Source organism: Homo sapiens, chromosome 8 (assembly GCF_000001405.40).
Source record: "Homo sapiens chromosome 8, GRCh38.p14 Primary Assembly".
NCBI classification, from domain to species: Eukaryota; Metazoa; Chordata; class Mammalia; order Primates; family Hominidae; genus Homo; species Homo sapiens.
The window spans coordinates 9,083,502-9,102,155 of NC_000008.11; the positions used below are offsets into that span (position 1 = coordinate 9,083,502).

At 43.3% G+C, this 18,654-nt stretch overlaps 1 protein-coding gene across 2 annotated transcripts in view; it reads left to right on the forward strand.

Annotated features, from left to right (window-relative positions):
* ERI1 (exoribonuclease 1) overlaps nt 1–16,603 on the forward strand; it is a 97,208-nt gene extending 80,605 nt beyond the window's left edge. Inside the window, exons 7-8 of one of the 2 annotated variants that reach the window (NM_001354638.2) lie at nt 4,959–5,068; nt 16,358–16,603. In NM_001354638.2, the coding sequence (NP_001341567.1) occupies nt 4,959–5,066 (108 nt within the window). In that variant the 3' untranslated portion in view covers nt 5,067–5,068; nt 16,358–16,603. Of the gene's footprint in view, nt 1–4,958; nt 5,069–13,241; nt 14,317–16,357 lie in introns of those variants that run through there. The other variant, XM_047422402.1, reaches the window with a different exon arrangement.
* The last annotated feature ends 2,051 nt before the right edge of the window (nt 16,604–18,654 follow it).

Below are 18,654 nucleotides of genomic sequence, written 5' to 3' on the forward strand. Positions count from 1 at the left end.
GTGCGATGAACCACCTTGTACTCAGTATCCAGCCTTAGCAATCATCAACTCATAATCAATACTGCCTCATGATGCTCACTTTGGCAGCACATATACTAAAATTGAAATGATACAGAGTTTTGCATGGTCCATGTTAAAAAAAAAAAGCGGGGGGGAAGAATACTGCTTCATGCTTGGCACAGTGGTTCATGCCTGTAATCCCAGCACTTTGGGAGGCTGAGGTGGGAGAATTGCTTGAATCCAGGAGTTCAAGACCAGCCAGGACAACAAAGCAAGACCCTGTCTCTATGATTTTTTTTTCTTTTTTTTTGAGACAGAGTCTCGCTCTGTAGCCCAGGCTGGAGTGCAGTGGTGTGATCTTGGCTCACTGCAAACTCCGCCTCCTGGGTTCACGCCATTCTCCAGCCTCAGCCTCCTGAGTAGCTGGGACTATAGGCACCTGCCACCATGCCCGGCTAATTTTTTGTATTTTTAGTAGAGACGGGGTTTCACCGTGTTAGCCAGGATGGTCTCGATCTCCTGACCTCATGATCAACCCGCCTCGGCCTCCCAAAATGCTGGGATTACAGGCGTGAGCCGCCGTGCCCAGCCTAAAATTTTTTTTTTTAGATTTAGCCTGGTGTGGTGGTGTGCACCTGTAGTCCCAGCTACTTGGGAGGCTGAGGCAGGAGGATCACCTGAGCCTAGGAGTCGGAGGTTGCAGCAGTGAGCTTTCGTGGCATTACTGCTTTCCAGCCTGGGAAACAGTGAGATTGAGACCCTGTCTCAAAGAATACCGCCTCATCTATTCCACCACATTTTTGTCCATTCCAACTACATTATTTTGAAATGAATTCCAGAGAGCTGGACTTTATTGCTTTGTAACTTTCTACTTCTCACTGTACCTTTTCTTTGCCCGTAGTGGAATTGTATGGACAGTGGCTGCCCTAAACCTGAACATTGGTTGCCCCACGTTTATCATTGTGTAGTTGCCTGCCTTCCCGATATCAAATCCCCAAATTTGCATTTTCCAGCCTCCCTTAACTCCACAGCTCAGACACTCAACTTCAGTTTGGAAAGTCAGACCTTCTTGCTGCAAGATTTTGACTAGGACTCGGGCTTGGAGGAAGCGGGAGGGGTTGGGTGCATGCCATCAGGTCAGCTCTGCAATGGCATTCTGGGGGCTGCTCCTGGAAGATGACCCAGGAAAATATTCCTCCCTCTTTTTCCAAGGAGTTTGTGAGTACCCTAACTACATTAATAAAGCCCTTCCTTTACACACTAGCTAGAGAGATTCCACTGACTTTTACCAGATAGCTGGACTGATACAAAAGCTGATCATTCTAACCTTCTGAAGAAGCTGAAGTGGAGAGGTGTACACAAGCACTTCAGTCGCTCAGGAGAAAAATGTTGTGATTTGTATGAATATGATGATTTATTAAGTATGGGTTTATGGGACCACCTTATAGCAGTCGTTTCCAAAATGTAATCCCCCCTGCATCCCCCTCCAGCCCACCAACCAACAGCATCAACATCACCTAGAAACTTCTATAAATTCAGATTCTTGGACCTATTCCCAAGACCTCATGAATCAGAAATTTGGGGGTGGGGCCTACCAATCTGCTTTGTAACAAACCCTAGGTGATTTACATCAGCAAATTCCAGCCTGAGGGCTACATTCTGTGCCCACCGCTTTTTTTGTTTTTCTTTCTGTTTTTGTTTGTTTGTTGCTGTTGTTGTTGTTTTGAGACTGAGTCTTGCTCTGTCACCCAGGCTGGAGTGCAATGACATGGTCTCGACTTACTGCAAACTCTGCCTCCTGGGTTCAAGTGATTCTCCTGCTTCAGCCTCCCAAGGAGATGAGATTACAGGCTTATACTTCCATGCCTGGCTAATTTTTGTATTTTTAGTAGGGACAGAGTTTCACCATGTTGGCCAGGCTGGTCTTGAACCCCTGACCTCAAGTAATCACCTGCCTCAGCCTCCCAAAGTGCTGGGATTACAGGCCTGAGCCACCGCGCCCGGCCCTACCATCTTTTTTTATAAATAAATTTTTACTGGAACACAGCCACACTCATTCATTTATGTATTGCCTCTCTCTGCTTGTGTACTAAACTTGTAGAGTGTCGTGGTTGTGATAAAGACTGTAATGGCCCACAAAGCCTACAGTATTTACTATCTGGCCCTTAACAGAGAAAGTTCAGGGCCCCTAATTTAGATTCACTCTAAGTGATGAGACAGTAAAAGTTAGAGGAGGAGTCAATAAGAATTAAACAGGAATATGTGACGCTAATTTATAACAAAGTATAGCTGTTGGGATTGGTGTCCATAAAATGGTGGTCTTTCCTTAGCTGAGGTCTGTGAGACGCAGAACAGCAGGTTTTTTCTAACTTGTTAATGGCAGTCTCCATGCTGAGGACAAATTTAGCAAACTCTTATATGATCAAGATGCTTTTTTTAAAGTGTGTGCATAAGCATGCATGTGTTGGTTTGTGTGTATCTAGAAGATAATCTCTTGAGCAACCAGGAGGAATCACAGAAAAGAGAATTTTATCCTACTATTAGGAAATAACTCCCGTCCTCTTTCAAGTCCTAATTTGTTTGTCTAGACTGCGGCATTTACCATGAATGCTAAAAAAACAGGGATAGCGGGCCAGGTGTGGTGGCTCACACCTATAATCCCAGAACTTTGGGAGGCCAAGGTGGACAAATTGCTTGAGCCCAGGAGTTCAGGACCAGCCTGGACAAGATGGTGAGACCACCAATGCTACAAAAATACCAAAAATTAGCTGGGCATGGTGGCCTGCACCTGTGGTCCCAGCTACTCAGGAGACTGAGGTGGGAGGATAACTTAAGCCCAGGAGTTTGAGACCAGCCTGGGTAATATGGCAAAACCCCGTCTCTACAAAAAATACAAAAACTAGATGGGTGTGGTGATGTGCACATGTAGTCCCAGCTACTCTGGAGGCTGAGGTGGGAGGATCTCTTGAGCCAGGGAGGTCGAGGCTGCAGCAAGCTGAGATCACGCCACGTCACTCCAGCCTGGGTCACAGTGATACCGTCTCAAAACTAGGCAACCGACCAACCAATTCATTCTGTTTGACCCATAGTTTGACTCTTAAGAATGCATTGTAACAAAATAAGTAAGGATGTGTTCAATATTATAGCAAGAAGCCTGTTGGTTTCAGCACTGTTTATAACAGTAAAAAATGAAAAGCAGCCTAAATGTCCTACCTAATCAAAGTGGTTAACTGTGATAAACACACATTATAGAATATTATGTGGCCATTAACATGATGTTGTAAAAACATACATATTGGCTTGGATAAATACTCATACTGTTGACTGAGCAAGAGTGTCAAACCATTATTCTGTATGTTTTCCTGCAATGGACTTACTATTATGTATACCCATTTATATGCCTACATTATAATCTATAAGTGTACACAGGAAAATTCTCAAAATTTTAACTAGTTTTAAACTAGTTAGTGCTGGGCGGTAGGATTCTGAGTAACTTTGACCTCCTTCTCACCTTCTCATCTTATTTTTTTTTTAAGTTTTTTGAATTTTACTTTAAGTTCCAGGATACATGTGCAGAATGTGCAGGTTTGTTACATAGGTTCATGTGTGCCATGGTGGTTTGCTGCACCCACCAACCCATCATCTAGGTTTTAAGCCCCACATGCATCAGGTATTTGTCCTAATGCTCTCCCTCCCCTTGCCCCCCACCTTCATCTTATTTTTATTTATTTTTAAATTATATTTATTATTTATTTATTTTTGAGATGGAGTTTCACTCCTGTTGCCCAGTCTGGAGTGTAGTGGAGCGATCTTGGCTCACTGCAATCTCCGCCTCCCGGGTTGAAGCCATTTTCCTGCCTCAGCCTCCCTAGTAACTGTGGATTACAGGTGCATGTCACCATATGTGGCTATTTTTTTTTTTTTTTTTTTTTTTGATTTTTAGTAGAGACAGGGTTTCAACATGTTGGCCAGGCTGGTCTCGAACTCCTGACCTTAGGCCCACCTCGGCCTCCTAAAGTGCTGGGATTACAGGCTTGAGCCACTGCACCCTGCCCTTATTTTTATTTTGATTTTTATTTTTTATTTTTATACAGTGATCATGTATTCCTTGTGTAATTATATGTGTTTTAATGCACACGCAGATACAGACATCTTAGTTTGGAGATGTAGCAACACATTTCAATAGATAAATTTAGATCCCCTACTTTCTGCTCAAGTTGACATAAATGTCCTCCCCATGCAGCTGGGTGGGAGCATCAGGCCCCACAAGGGTTTGAGGTTCCCTACTTTCACAGAGAGGGAAAGGGGCAGATTCAGGTAGGGACAACACATTAAGGACCCCTTGCTTCTTCCTCATTTCCTGGGTGGGATGGTCAATCACACCAGTATGCCTGGAAGTGAGGGATTTCCCAGGATACAAGACTTTCAGTACAAATAAGGAAAATCCCAGGCAAACTGGGTCCAGTTGATCATCACATTCCTGGCAGATTTAAAAAGAATGGCATATACGCCTACAGGTGCACAGAGCTACATGTGTGACTCACGCTGCGGTATGTGGTTTCATGAGAAGTTACTTATGAAATCATTGCTGATTTCTGATCCTCATGGCCAGGAAAGGAGACAAAATCAGCAGGGTTGAGGTCAGTTCAAAAAGGAGGCCTTCTAACCCCGAAGAAAGCAGAATCCATTTCAGGAGATAACACCTTCTCTTCTCTGCATTTAACACCAGTGCATGCATTTGTTCTGTGTCTGAGCCTCTGTAAATTAAAAAAAAAAAAAAATTAAAGTGTTTTCTGAATAATTCAGGTCAAATTAGCCATTCACTGACTCAATTTCCCACTTTCTTTGCTGTTAAACATTGAACTATTTAATGTCGCTGAAATTGCATTTACGGTATTCCGTTAGCTCAAGTTGTGCCCATTCTGCTAAAGCTCTCGACATTCTTATTATCATTAAAGAGAAAGAGGAAAGGACCAGGAGTGGCGACCGGCAAACCACAGCTTGTGTGGGAAGGAAATTTGACATGTGATGCAAGCGGACGTTTGTGTAAACTGCTGGGAGATTAACAGTGAGTATCTCTCTGTGTGTTGCCCATCCACCCATTTATAAGTGGTGGGAGAGATGGCGCAGAGGGGGAGCAATGCCCATTCAGCCAGTGCAAGTTGTGGGCTCAGCTGGCTGCTAGTCAGTCATCCTTTGTTTGAAAGCAGCACACTTCCTTTTCACCAGCTGAGTCAGGAGCTGTTCTCCTGGGTAATTTCAGAGAATCCACCTCATTGCTCACATGCACGTCATTGCCTTTGGATTGTAGCATGCTGGAGGGTTTAACCAGGGAGTTGACAATGAGTGTCTCTGCAGAACAGGCCAAACACATTCCCTGACCAGGTCATGCGGGTGAGTTAATAGGTTCACTACGTGCTCCTCCTACCCTGGAGAGCAGCGTGACGTTAGTTCCTAAGCTGCAGGGTTAGCACGTACAGTGTTATGTGGTGGCCTTGGCTTTAGAGTTAGCCAGACTTAGGGTAGAACTGTGGCTCAACCACTTCCTCACTGTGTGATATTTGGCAAGTTATTCGCCATCACTAAGGCTCGGTTTCCTCAAATAGATTAGGGAAATAACATGGTTCCCGCTTCACTCTCCTCTTTCCTTTTCTTCACTGAGTTTCTCTCACCTGTGCTTCTTTGTTGCCTGTAAAACATATAGGCCAAAGGGAAAGATGATTCTGGCATATTCCAGACCATTCTCACCTTCTTTAATTTATTTAATTTTAAAAATATTTATAAATAGAGATGGGGTCTTGCTGTGTTGCCCAGGCTGGTCTTGAACTACTGGCTTCAAGTGGGCTTCCTGCCTTGGCATCCCAAAGTGCTGGAATTATGGGTGTGAGCTACCACACGCAGCCTGGATCTCTTTCCAGTGGGGAACTTAAGATTCTTCTTCCTTTTCTGAGAATGACTTGGACACAAGGGTTTGCAAAGTATGTTCCATAGACCACTGGTGGTTCACTGTGGTCCCCTAGATGATGCAAACTTCAGAGGGAAGAAAATGCCCTATGAGGAGGAAGCAGAGAGGAGCCCCACTGGCTCTGAGTGGAGACTCCTGGCTCTACCTTCAGAACTCCACTCCTGGTCACCATCAAAGTCCTGCCCGGAGCCCACAGATTCCAATCCTATGCTGTTCTCCCCACCTCTTCTTCACTAGCTGTACAAAATGACGAGGTTTGTGTAGCCGGAGCGATGCCTTGGGTTTTTGTTGTTTCCCACCATTAGGAAAAACAGAGGGATTAGGTGGCAGAGTCCGCTTAGCTTTTCAGTGAAGAAATGAAAGGTGTGGCAGGATGGGTTCAGGTGCATTTTGCTGGTGGGAATGGAAATAAGATTGGGAGGAGGAGGATGTGAATGTGAACAATGAGACAGATTCCCTGAAATTATCCAAGAGAACGGCTCCTGACTCGACCGTTGGCAAAGAGGGTGTGCTACTTGCAAAGCAAGGATGACGGCTGAGATGATATCACATTTGCATTTTTTTGGATTGTCATCAGTCTCATTGTGCCATGTTTCCAATCTGCACGTGTGCGGATGTGCAACCGGGAGACACAGACAGGCACCAAGAGCCAGTAATGAAAATCCCACCTTCTCCTTGTAAGCAAACCTTATCCAAGGACCCAGGACACTTGCTTGACCCAATTATGCAGAAACTCCACTGCTTCTTCCTCCTCCTGATATGCTGTGAGAGAGGAAAGGAAGAGGGGCCGACAGAGAAGGGGTGTGGTGAGCTCAGGTGCATTTTGCTGGTGGGAGGACACCTTGGTGCCAACTTGTTCTGTTTCTCCAGTGATGTAAAAGCCTTTCAAAGTTCTCATTGGTTGACCCAATCATTCTAGTTCTAGGAATCCAGCCAAAGGAAATAATCAGCAATGCAGATGAAGATCTATGTTAAGGGTACTTACTCTAGCTTATTGATTATGGTAAAATATTGGAAAAAAATCTACATGACCAGGAGTGGAAAATGAAGTAGAATACGTTGGAATTACACAGTCTGTGAAGATGATGTTTTAGGAGTATTCGTTTTTAAATGGAAAAAGTTACACATGCACACGGTTAAAAGTTTAAATAGGACAAAAGAGAAGAAATGAGAAAGGAAACTCTCTCTGGGGTCCTCCTCTATAGATAAAACTATGTCCTCAGTTATAGATTGTGCTTTAGAAAAGAAATAGGTGAAACAAGAAAATGGTTTCAAAGTAATAATAAGTGGAGGAAAGACACAAGATCAAAAAACAACAACAACACAATAAAACAATGAACTTTCCAGTATAATTGCAATTTGAGAGGCTTGAGAGGAGAGTAAGACAGAGAAGAAATATTCCAAGCTGTTTCTGAGTGATGAAATTTGGGGTAATATTTATTTTCTGTATTTTATAAACTTTTTATAGTGTGTAATATTACTTTCTAATACTTAGCATTTAAGGAGCTAGAAAATTGCATTTAAGTTCAGAATTCAGCAAGGGACACCAATGATCTTCTGAAAATATTTTTTTCCAAAAATCAACAGTCTTTATATTAACACATATATGTTCCCCTATTTTATTTATGTGTAAGTTTAAAATAATGCTGCAAGTTAATTTTTCAAGAACACCCAGAAATTGCATTTTATCTCCCTGTCGGCCCTTCTTCAGCATCTGACTTAATCACCACATGCAAGAAAGTTAGAAAACAACACCACAAGAAAGAATTCTTGGCCGGGAGCAGTGGCTCACGCCTGTAATCCAAGTACTTTGGGAGGCTGAGGCAGGTGGATCGCTTGAGGTCAGGAGTTCAAGACCAGCCTGGACAACATGGTGAAACCCTGTCTCTACTAAAAATACAAAAATTAGCTGGGTGTGGTGGCATGCACCTGTAATCTCAGTTACTTGGGAGGCTGAGGCAGGAGAATGGCTTGCACCCAGGAGGAGGAGGAGGTTGCATCATAGCACTCTAGCCTGGGCAACAGAGCGAGACTCTGTCTCAAAAAAAAAAAAAGAGTTCTTGCCATTATTTGGTGATATTGTGCTCAAATAAAAATGTTTTGCTTATTTTGCATTTCAATGTCAAACACAGAAGTCTGAACTTTGCCTTTCTATAAATGAATCCATCAGGGAAGATAAATTTGACTGTGGTTCTTAGGTCAAGGTCTAATGTTATGAGAGTTTTCAAAAGAATCCCAAGGGAAAGCATCTGTCTGGTTAGCATATGACAGCACTTAAGAACAAATTATTCCCAGTTTCCAAAAATGTGAAATGTACATTTGGGAGTCAAGTCAAGTTTCTGGATTTACAATAGTATTTCAGAATCCATCCACATATTTTAAAGAGACAGACATTCCTAAATGCCCTCTAAAAAGACCCAGTAACAAAATTGTTAATTTGTGGATGTTGGAAAGAGCTTTCTGAACTTACGCTGAAGTGTGTGCATGTGTTTTTGTTGTTGTTGTTTTGAGACAGGGTCTCACTCTGTCACCCAGGCTGGAGTGCAGTGGTGCAATCTCGGCTCACTGCAACCTCCGCCTCCTGGGCTCAAGTGATCCTCCTACCTCAGCCTCCCAAGTAGCTAGGACTACAGGCACGTGCCACCACACCTGGCTAATTTTTGTAGTTTTTGTAGAGAAAGGGTTTCGCCATGTTGCCCAGGCTGGTCTCAAACTCCTGGGCTCAAACAGTCTGCCTGGCTTGGCTTCTCAAAGCGCTGAGATTACAGGCCTGAACCACTGTGCCCCGCCTGTGTATGTGTTTCAGCGATGGCATCCCCACAGTGTGAAGGATCTTAAGTGTGAAGACCCTTATTTGGAGAGGATTTGGAGGGGTGTTGGCTTCTCGTTCTGTTCAGAATCTTCCCGTCTACACCATTGCACACATGGCCTGTGGTCAGGCTCACCTCTGAGTCTGGGCTGGAATGAGCAAATATCTTGTTTATAGCCACAAACTGGTTCATTGGTTAAGTAGGTGAAGATGTCAGGAAATAAGATTTGCTCTTGTCATGGGTAAACAGATAGGGAACATCACTGAAGATTACGGGGAATCAAATGAGCAATTGTTTTCCTTCGGTCTTTCTCACACATATCAACCTCTTCGGATGCATGACGGCTGTGAGCTGAGAGCGCTGAGAGCAGGAAGGAACCAGGGCTGTGAGCAGTGGTTTGCCACTTGGACAAGATTCAGATTTATGCTTCTTCATACCCTGAGTTCTTGAGACCAGGGATTTATATTTTTAGAGATGTGTTTTGTCTTAGTTTCCTAGGACTGCCATAACAAAGTAACAGACCGGGTGGCTTCTTAGGTCCCAGAATTGTATTGGCTTACAGTTCTGGAGACTGGAAGTCTGAGACCAAGGTTTCGGCAGGGTTGGTTCCTTCTGAGGGCTGGGAGGGAGAATCTGTTCAGGCCTGTCTCCTGGCTTCTGGTGGTTTGCTGGGAGTCTTTGGCGTTCCTTGGCTCGTGGGCCCATCACTCTAATGGTTGCCTTCACGTTCACGTGCTGCTTTCCCCGTGTGAGTATGTCTGTCTCCAAATTTCCGCTTTTTATAAGGACATCAGTCATATTAGATCAAGTCCCACCCTATTACCTCATTTTAACTTAATCACCTTTTTAAAGACCAGGTCTCCAAACACAGCAGGGGTGACCAATCTTTTGACTTCCCTGGGCCACATTGGAAGAAGAAGAATTAATTGTCTTGGGCCGCACGTAAAATACACTAACACTAATGAAAGCTGATTAGCTTTAAAAAAATCTTAACGTTTTAAGAAAGTTTATGAATCTGTGTTGGGCCATATTCAAAGCCGTCCTGGGCTGCATGTGGCCCAAGGGCTGCAGGTTGGACAAGCTTGAAACACAGTCGCCTTCTGAAGTACTGGGGGTTGAAACTTTAATATGTGAATTTTGGGGGCATGCAATTCAACCCATTACAAATATAGACACAGGTATATGCATACACCTGGATAATATTTTTGGAAGGGAAGACCTTGTCTCTAAAAAAAAAAAAAAAAAAGAAGAAGAAGAAGAAGAAAGTAAGAAAGTTTGTAAAACAGCTTAAGACTGTTTATTTATTTTTGAGACGGAATCTCACTCTGTCACCCAGGCTGGCGTGCAGTGGTGCAATCTCCGCTCACTGCAACCTCTGCCTCCTGGGTTCTAGCAATTCTCCTTCCTCAGCCTCCTGAGTAGCTGGGATTACAGGCACATGCCACCATGCCCAGCTAATTTTTTTTTGTTTTGTATTTTTAGTAGAGATGGAGTTTCACCACATTGTCCAGGCTGGTCTCGAACTCCTGACCTCAGACGATCCACTCGCCTCGGCCTCCCAAAGTGCTGGGATTACAAGCGTGAGCCATCATGCCTGGCCAAGACTTTAAAATAATTATTTTGTCAATGGAAGAGCTAGGTGTGACTTTTACAGGAAGAAGCCTGTGTGTTTAAAGTGTTACTTATCATTCAAAAGCAAATAAAGGAAACTTCTTTTTTATTTTATCTTTTTATTGTGGTACCCTATACACCAATCAGCTAGCTTCAACTATTACTAATAATTGTTATAAACTAATTTTTTAATAATAACAAGTATAGTAGTAATTATCAGCAATTTAAAAGCTTTGCTGGAGAATATTATCAAATACAAATAGCAGACAAGGCATTGAGGACAATTGAAACATTAGCTACGGTGTTTCTTGACAAGCTCCAATTTCTAAAATAATAGCATATTACAATATGAGCATGAGAATCGTCGTGGACTCTCAGGACAAATCCAAGCAACCAGGAGAGTCTCCTCAAGGGGCAGAGGATCATGCCCTCATTCTCAGTGCAGACTTGGGCAGCATTCCAAAAGCCTCTCCAAGAGTTAAGCATTGATATTTGCCTCGCAATCCCTCTCTCTGCAATTGCTGCAAGGGCTGAGTCTCAAACTTTTCAATCCACGTACCTCTTTGATGAGGCAAAAACCCTCCCCACCATCTGCCCCACCTGTTTGCTCTGCGCACAGGGTAGAGAGATTGGCTCTGTTCCCTCTCCTTCTCTGTGTCCTGTGTGTTGATGGATGATGAGTTTCCAGCAACCCAACTGCTCAGAACAAAGACCACATCTCCTTTTCTCTCTTCTCTGTGTGCTAGTTGGGGAACATAAATGTGTTTCTCATTATTTGGTCTGTTTTACAATGTGAGTTCCTGCTGGAGTTCACTGCTTTGGGGATTACAAGGTATTTCATCTCCTGTAGGACGGGCCCTTCCCTAACACTTAACAATGGCAGCCTGTCTGAAGACAGGAAACCCTGAAGTGTTTTGCTAAATTTAAAGACTCAGACAAATATTAAGATTGGAGAGATTTTTCCTATTTTTTAAAAAAACGTAATCCTTTTATGTAGCTAGTATGTATATGTGTTACGGGGGTTGGGAGAGTCCTGAAATGGGTGGTAGGAAGGATCCAAAGATAATTAATTCTCAGCTTAAAAACCATTATGGCACAAAGGAAAGAGAATGGGCTTTGGAGCCAGAAGGTGGGATATGAATCCTGCCGTTTTCCTACTGGCAGTTGCAACAGCTTTACTTCCATCAGCTGCAAGATGAGGATTGTATAACCTGCTTTCTTAGGACTGGTGTGAAGACTAAATGAGATGCTGCATGAGAGCATCTGGCACGCTGTAGGGCTTCATGAGTGCTACCTCTTTGAAAACACTTTTAAATTTTAGATTCAGGGAGTACATGTGCAGGTTTGTTACATGGGTGTATTGGGTGATGCTGGGGTTCTGTTGAATAGATTGGGTTTGTATTAAACCCATCACCCAAATAGTGAACATGGTACCCAGTAGATATCTTTTCAGTCCTTCCCGTTCTCTCTACCTCTCCCTACTTGGAGTCCGTAGAGGGCTATCTCTTAATAAAACCTAATTCTGTAATGGTAAGGAGTTCAGCATTGCAAATTCAAATTGGCTACAGGATGCCCAAATCCATGGGACAGGTCTTTTGTTGTTGTTGTTTGTTTGTTTGTTTGTTTGTTTGTTTTTGAGATGGGGTCTCACTCTGAAACCCAGGCTGGAGTGCAGTAGCCTGATAATGGTTTACTGCAGCCTCAACTTCCTGGGCTCAAGCCTCCCTGCTTCAGGTGATCCTCCCACCTTAGACTCCTGAGTAGCTGGGACTACAGGCACATGCCACCATGCCGAGCTAATTTTTGTGTTTTTTGTAGAAATGGGGTTTCACCATGTTGCCCACGCTGGCCTTGAACTCCTGGGCTCAAGACATCTGCTTGCCTTGGAATCCCAAACTGTTAGGATTACACTGCGCTCGGCCAGGACAGATGTTTATATAATAGAAGTTTGCTCTGTGTTTAAGGATCATCTGTAGGGGTGGGTCGGGGGGCAAGGCACTTGGCCTTACTAGCCTCATTAAAGAAATGTTTCGGGAGCCCTCGCCGCCTAGCTGCAGGGCACTGGGTCATCTGGAATATAGAAATCATAATAATCCCCCTTGCGTCATAGGCTGACCTGAGGATCAAATGAGATAATGTCTGTGAAAGTACTTGATAAGCCTGAAGCACTGTCTAAATGTATTGCTGAGGGCCTGAGGTAGAGAGGACGTTTACTTTGGGCCATTCATGAGGTTCAAGTACAAACTCTCCATTGCATGGCATTCAGTGCAGAGCAAACACATTCTATTTGGCTTTAGCCTTGAATGAAAAGTCAACAGTGCCTTTTCAGTTGCTTTGCTTCCTCTCTTCTCCTTTCAAAACAAAGCCAGGTCCTCTAAGGGTTTCCTGCTGAGTTTATAAAGAGGTGCTGGATTACAAATCCAGCCCCGGCTCCCAGGATCTTGGAGGCTGGGGAAGAGTATGGCCTCAAAACAAGGGGTGTCTGAGGACACCTACCCTTGGTTCTTCATCAAGGGATTGGCCTTCTCTCAAGCCTTGAACCAGGGCCAAGTACCCCAGAAGCAATGCTTTCTTTCCCATGGAGGTAGTCACAGGAGAGGCACCATGAAAGAACTTGGACAACGTCACTGCTGGACTGTGAAAGGGCTCACTGTGAGGATGATCAGGAGGGAGGAGCGGTGGCTTGGGGCTGACCTCGGAAGTGTGGTCCAGCTGCCTGATGTTGATTGTACATTTCAGGCATGCTTTGAGAAGAGGCCTAAGTGATCCAAAGTCCCGTTCTATGAAATGAAATGTCCATCTCTTTACTTCTATTGCCATCTTTTTTTTTTTTTTTTTTTTTTTTTTCTTTTCAGACGGGATCTCACTCTGTCACCCAGGCTGGAATTGCATGATCATGGCTCACTGCAGCCTCAGACTTTTGGGCTCAAGCAATGCTCCCGCCTCAGCCTCCCAAAATGCTGGATTACAGGCGTGAGTCACTGTGCCCGGCCTCTGTTCCCACTTTCTGTCTGACTTTCTCCTGACATTCTTCTTTTCTTCAATCTCACGCACCCATCCTGCAGATCCTAAATATTGCCTTTATGATGGGAGTCAGGGCTCTTCACTCTCTAGACGAAGCCACCTTTCCTACCCAGGTCCCAAACGAACCCATTCCCTCTCTGCCTTTACTCTTCTAGCTCTCCCGCTTCCTCTGGAAGTCCCCCTTTCTTCTCTCTTCCCATTTACACCCCCTCCATCCTTCAGGACCCTTTGTGTGTGCCTCCCCATGAAGCCTTTTGTGACTATTCAATCCCCAGCGCTTTCTCCCCGCTTTCATATGCTACATATTTTTTATATTTTTTGTATTACTCTTTGGCTTTTCATGATTTTCTGTTTTTTATTCACTCATTAACAGTCGAGTGTTTTTGTGCTAGGCATTGCATTTGGTACTGGGGACCCAGTGGTAAACCAAACAAACAGGGCCTCTCTTCAGAAGTAATTTATCATTTAGGGCCAGGTGCGGTGGCTCACGCCTGTAATCCCAACACTTTGGGAGGCTGAGGCAGGTGGATCTCCTGAGTATCACAGGCTGAGTTCGAGACCAGCCTGGCCAACATGGTAAAAACCGGTCTCCACTAAAAATACAAAAATTAGCCAGACACGGTGGCGTGCGCCTGTAGTCCCAGCTACGCAGGAGGCTGAGGCTGGAGAATCACTTGAACCAGGGCGGCAGAAGTTGTAGTGAGCCAAGATTGTGCCACTGCACTCCAGCCTAGGTGACAGAATGACACTCTGTCAAAAAAAAAAAAAAAAAAGAGTAATTTATCATTTAGTAGGCAGTTAAGAGACTTTTTTAAAAGAAAGAAAAGAAGAAAGAAGAAAAGACATAAACAAGCACTATATACATCATAAAGAATGTGGATTTTATTCTGAAAGCAATAAAAGCCATTGCAGAAGTTTAAATTTTTGTTAATTAAAAAAAAATGCTTAACAACCCAAATGCCCGTCAATCAAATAGTGGATAAAGAAATTATGGTATATGTATATACACCATGGAATACTACTCAGTCATAAAAAGAAATGCAATAATGGCATTTGCAGCAACCTGAGTGGAATTGGAGACCATTATTCTAAGTGAAGTAACTCAGGAATGGAAAACCAAACATCGCATGTTCTCACTCCTAAGTGGGAGCTAAGCTATGAGGATGCAAAGACATGAGAATGATACAGTGGGCCGGGCACAGTGGCTCACACCTGTAATTCCAGCACTTTGGGAGGCTGGGGTGGGCTGATCACTTGAGGTCAGGAGTATGAGACCAGCCTGGCAAAAATGGTGAAACCCTGTCTCTACTAAAAATACAAATAATTGGCCGAGCGCAGTGGCTCACGCCTGTAATCCCAGCACTTTGGGAGGCTGAGGCGGGTGGATCACCTGAGGTCAGGAGTTTGAGACCAGCCTGGCCAACATGGTGAAACCCCATCTCTACTAAAAATACAAAAAATTAGTTGGGTGTGGTAGCTTGAGCTGTAATCTCAGCTACTTGGGAGGCCGAAGCAAGAATCGCTTGAACCCGGGACGCAGAGGTTGCAGTGAGCCGAAATGGCGCCTTTGCACTCCAGCCTGGGTGACAGAATAAGTGAGACTCCATCTCAACAACAATAACAAAAAGAAGGATACAGTGGGCTTTGGGGACTCCAGGCAATGGTTGGGAGGGAGGTGAGGGATAAAAAGACTACACCTTGGGTACAGTGTACACTGCTTGGGCAATGGGTGCACCAAAATCACAGAAGTCACCACAAAAGACCTTATTCATGTAACCAAATACCACCTGTTCCCCAAAAACCTATTGAAATAAAAAAAAAATTTTTAATAAAGAAATAGAAAAAAATGTTAAACAGCCTTATTGAGGTATAATTGACTTACAGCAAATTGCACATATTTCAAATATACAATTTGGTAAGTTTTTTGTTTGTTTGTTTGTTTCAGACAGGCTCTCACTGTCACTCAGACTGGAGTGCAGTGGTGCAAGCTCGGCTCACTGCAACCTCTGCCTCCCAAGCTCAAATGATTCTCCTGCCTCAGCTTCCCGAGTAGCTGGGATTATAGGCGCCCCCCCACCACATCCGGCTAATTTTTGTATTTTTAGTAGAGACAGGGTTTCACCATTTTGGCCAGGCTGGTCTCGAACTCCTGACCTCAAATGATCCACCTGCCTCAGCCTCTCAAAGTGCTGGGATTACAGGCATGAGCCACCACACCCGGCCACAATTTGGTAAGTTTTAACATCTGTATATACCCATAAAACCATCACCAGGATATGATGAGCATATCCATCCAACCAACAAAGAGTTCTTGTGCTCTCTTCTTCCTTCTCCCCAAGTAAGATTTGAACTCCAATGCTACTGATTAGTTCAACTTTTTTCAGAATTTTGTATAAATCATCATACAGGGCCAGGCACAGTGGCTCATGCCTGTAATCCCAGCACTTAGGGAGCCAGGAGGTTTGCTTGAGCCCAGGAGTTCAAGACCAGCCTGGACAATATAGTGAGACTTTGTTTCTACAAAAAATAAAAAATTAGCCAGGTGTGGTGGTGCATGCCTGTGATCCCAACTACTCAGGAGACTGAGTTGGAAGAATCAGTTGAGCCTGGGAGGTCAAGGCAGCAGTGAGCTGTGACGGTATCATTGCAATCCAGCCTGGGCAATAGAGCGGGACACTCTCTCTCTCAAAAAAAAAAAAAAAAAGAAAGAAACAGAAACCCCAACCAAATAAATAAATAAGCATACACTATATACTCTTTTTCACGTGGCTTTTGTTCTCTTTACCACTGTAGAGCATTCCATTGTATGATACAGCAATTTATTTATCCTTTTACCTATCAATGGACCTTTGGGGTTGTTTCTACTTTTTGGTTATTACGAATAATGCCGCAGTCTTTGCTAACGGTATTGGTATTATGGACACATGCTTTCATTTCTTTTGGGCAGACAACTGTGAGTGGAATTGCTGAGTCATGTGGCAAACTACCAGTTCTGTTGAACCTCAGGGCCATCATTCTGTTCATGTCAGCTCGTTGTAGAACCACATCGATGAAGACCAAGATGGTAAAGATGAAAAATTGTAGCTAACATTTACTGCACATTTACTACAAGCCAAGCATTGCACTATGAAGTTTAAGTGCATTATTCATTAACCCCTTCAATAAAATTTGTAATTTTCATTTCAGAAGCAAATATTCGTGTTGTACAAATTTCTGATTGCCCTAAATGTAGAGAGACTGATGGGGAAAGTATGATGGGTTTGATTTTTATATCAAATCATCAGGCATGGAGAAATATCTTTTAGAAGTGTTAAAATAAATGTTCCTACTGTATATTTAAAATACAAAAAATGATAATAATAATAATAACAATTCCTCTGAAATAGTTACCGTGAATACCCTCATTTAAAATGAGGAAGCTAAGCCTTTTCAAAGTTAAGTAACTTGCCTAAGGTCTCTTAACAACTAGCGAAAAGGATAGAACTCAAACCTAGGTCTTTCTGACCCTGCAGTTTGTGTTTCTATCCACGGTGTAAGTGAATGAGTCAATGTATGCTAAAGTCAAGACTCTTATCTTCTGTTTTGCTTTCTTTCAGCATGGACAGAAGCACATTAACCTAGTCACAGGTGCCAGTGAGGGGCATTCTGATTAGCTGAGATGTTGGTTTCATTTTGCTTTACTGTTAGTCTAAGAATCTAAGGAAAATATAATGTGCAAGATACATTTGGCAATCATTTTATAGATTTTGTTAAAACTCCATAGGAATCCTTTATAAAGTTGTCTAATCTAAAATATATGACTATATTTAAGATGCATTTGTTTGCTTGGTTTAGATGGTAGTTTTTTTAAAGGGCCTCATCCATCAAAACACAATAAATGGGAATTGACTGTAGAATCCTGAGAATTTGTAATATTTGGAGGCATAATGACATAGCAGAAGAATATGAGTTTGCAGGTAAAAGAGACTTGGATTGAATATTCGGTCTGATGTTTCACAGTGGAAAAGCTATTGAAACCTCATTTTCTCGTTGGTAGAATGAAGATAGTAATGCCTATTTAAAGGGTGGTTGTAAGGATTAAAGAAGATGACAGACCCGTTACCCGGTGACACATTAGATTCTTGGTGAGGGTCAGGTCCTAGTTCATTTCTAGTCCCCCCCGCAACCTTTTTTTTTTTTTTTTTTTAAAGGGATCACACCTTTTTATCCTGGCTTAAAATCTAAATCCCTTCCTGCTAGGAGTTGGTGATCCTTCCCAAACTGTATGCAAAATTTAGTATGTTTGTACATGTTCATTTTGCGAGAAAATATCCCTGTGTATTAGTTCCTTTTCAAACTGTTATAAAGAACTACCTGAGACTGGGTAGTTTATGAAGAAAAGAGGTTTAATTGACTCACGGTTCCGCATGGCTGGGGTAGCCTCAGGAAACTTACATTTTTGGCAAAAGGAGAAGGGGAAGTGAGGCAGACGGCAAGATGCAGGGGAAGTGCCACACTTTTAAACCATCAGATCTCGTGAGAACTCACTTACTATCAGGAGAACAGCCTAGGGGAAACCACCCCCTTGATCCAATCACCTCCCACCAGGCCCCTCCCCATGGGGATTACAATTCGAGATGAGATTTGGGTGGGGACACAGAGCAAAATCATATCACCCTGGCTTCCATCAGATTTCAAAGAAATCCATGATTCAAAGGCAATTTAGAACCACTGGGAGATTGTTTTTCATTCATTCAACAGTATTTACTGAATATCCACTATGGGTCAAGCGTTTTGCTCAGATAAACCATGTCCCTGACTTTCAGGAAGGTACAGCCTAGACTGGTGAATAAAAGTATGACCTGTTTTGTGAATCTGTGTGTTATCACGCTATTATTAGGTTGGTGCAAAAGTAATTGCGGCTTTTGCCATTGAAAGTAATTACTTTTGCACCAACTTCATGCTTACTTGTATGGAGATGACACGTCAGAGAGAAAGGAGAGTACATGAAACAAAAAGCAGAAGAATCCAGACAGTTGAGTGGACATGAAAAAGAGGCCCTGTAAGCAAGGAACAGGCATCAAGAAAATAAACCTTCCTGACTTTGACTGACAGCCAGCTGCTATATTAAGGTGTAGGATTGTGTAGGTTCTGCCCCACGGAAGTGCCGGCCAAGGGTTGAGTGGAGAGGGTTGGGGTGGGGAGGTGACGAGATGCAGCTTGAGCTCCCTTCACCAAGCTGGGGGCCCTGAAGACTCTGCCTAC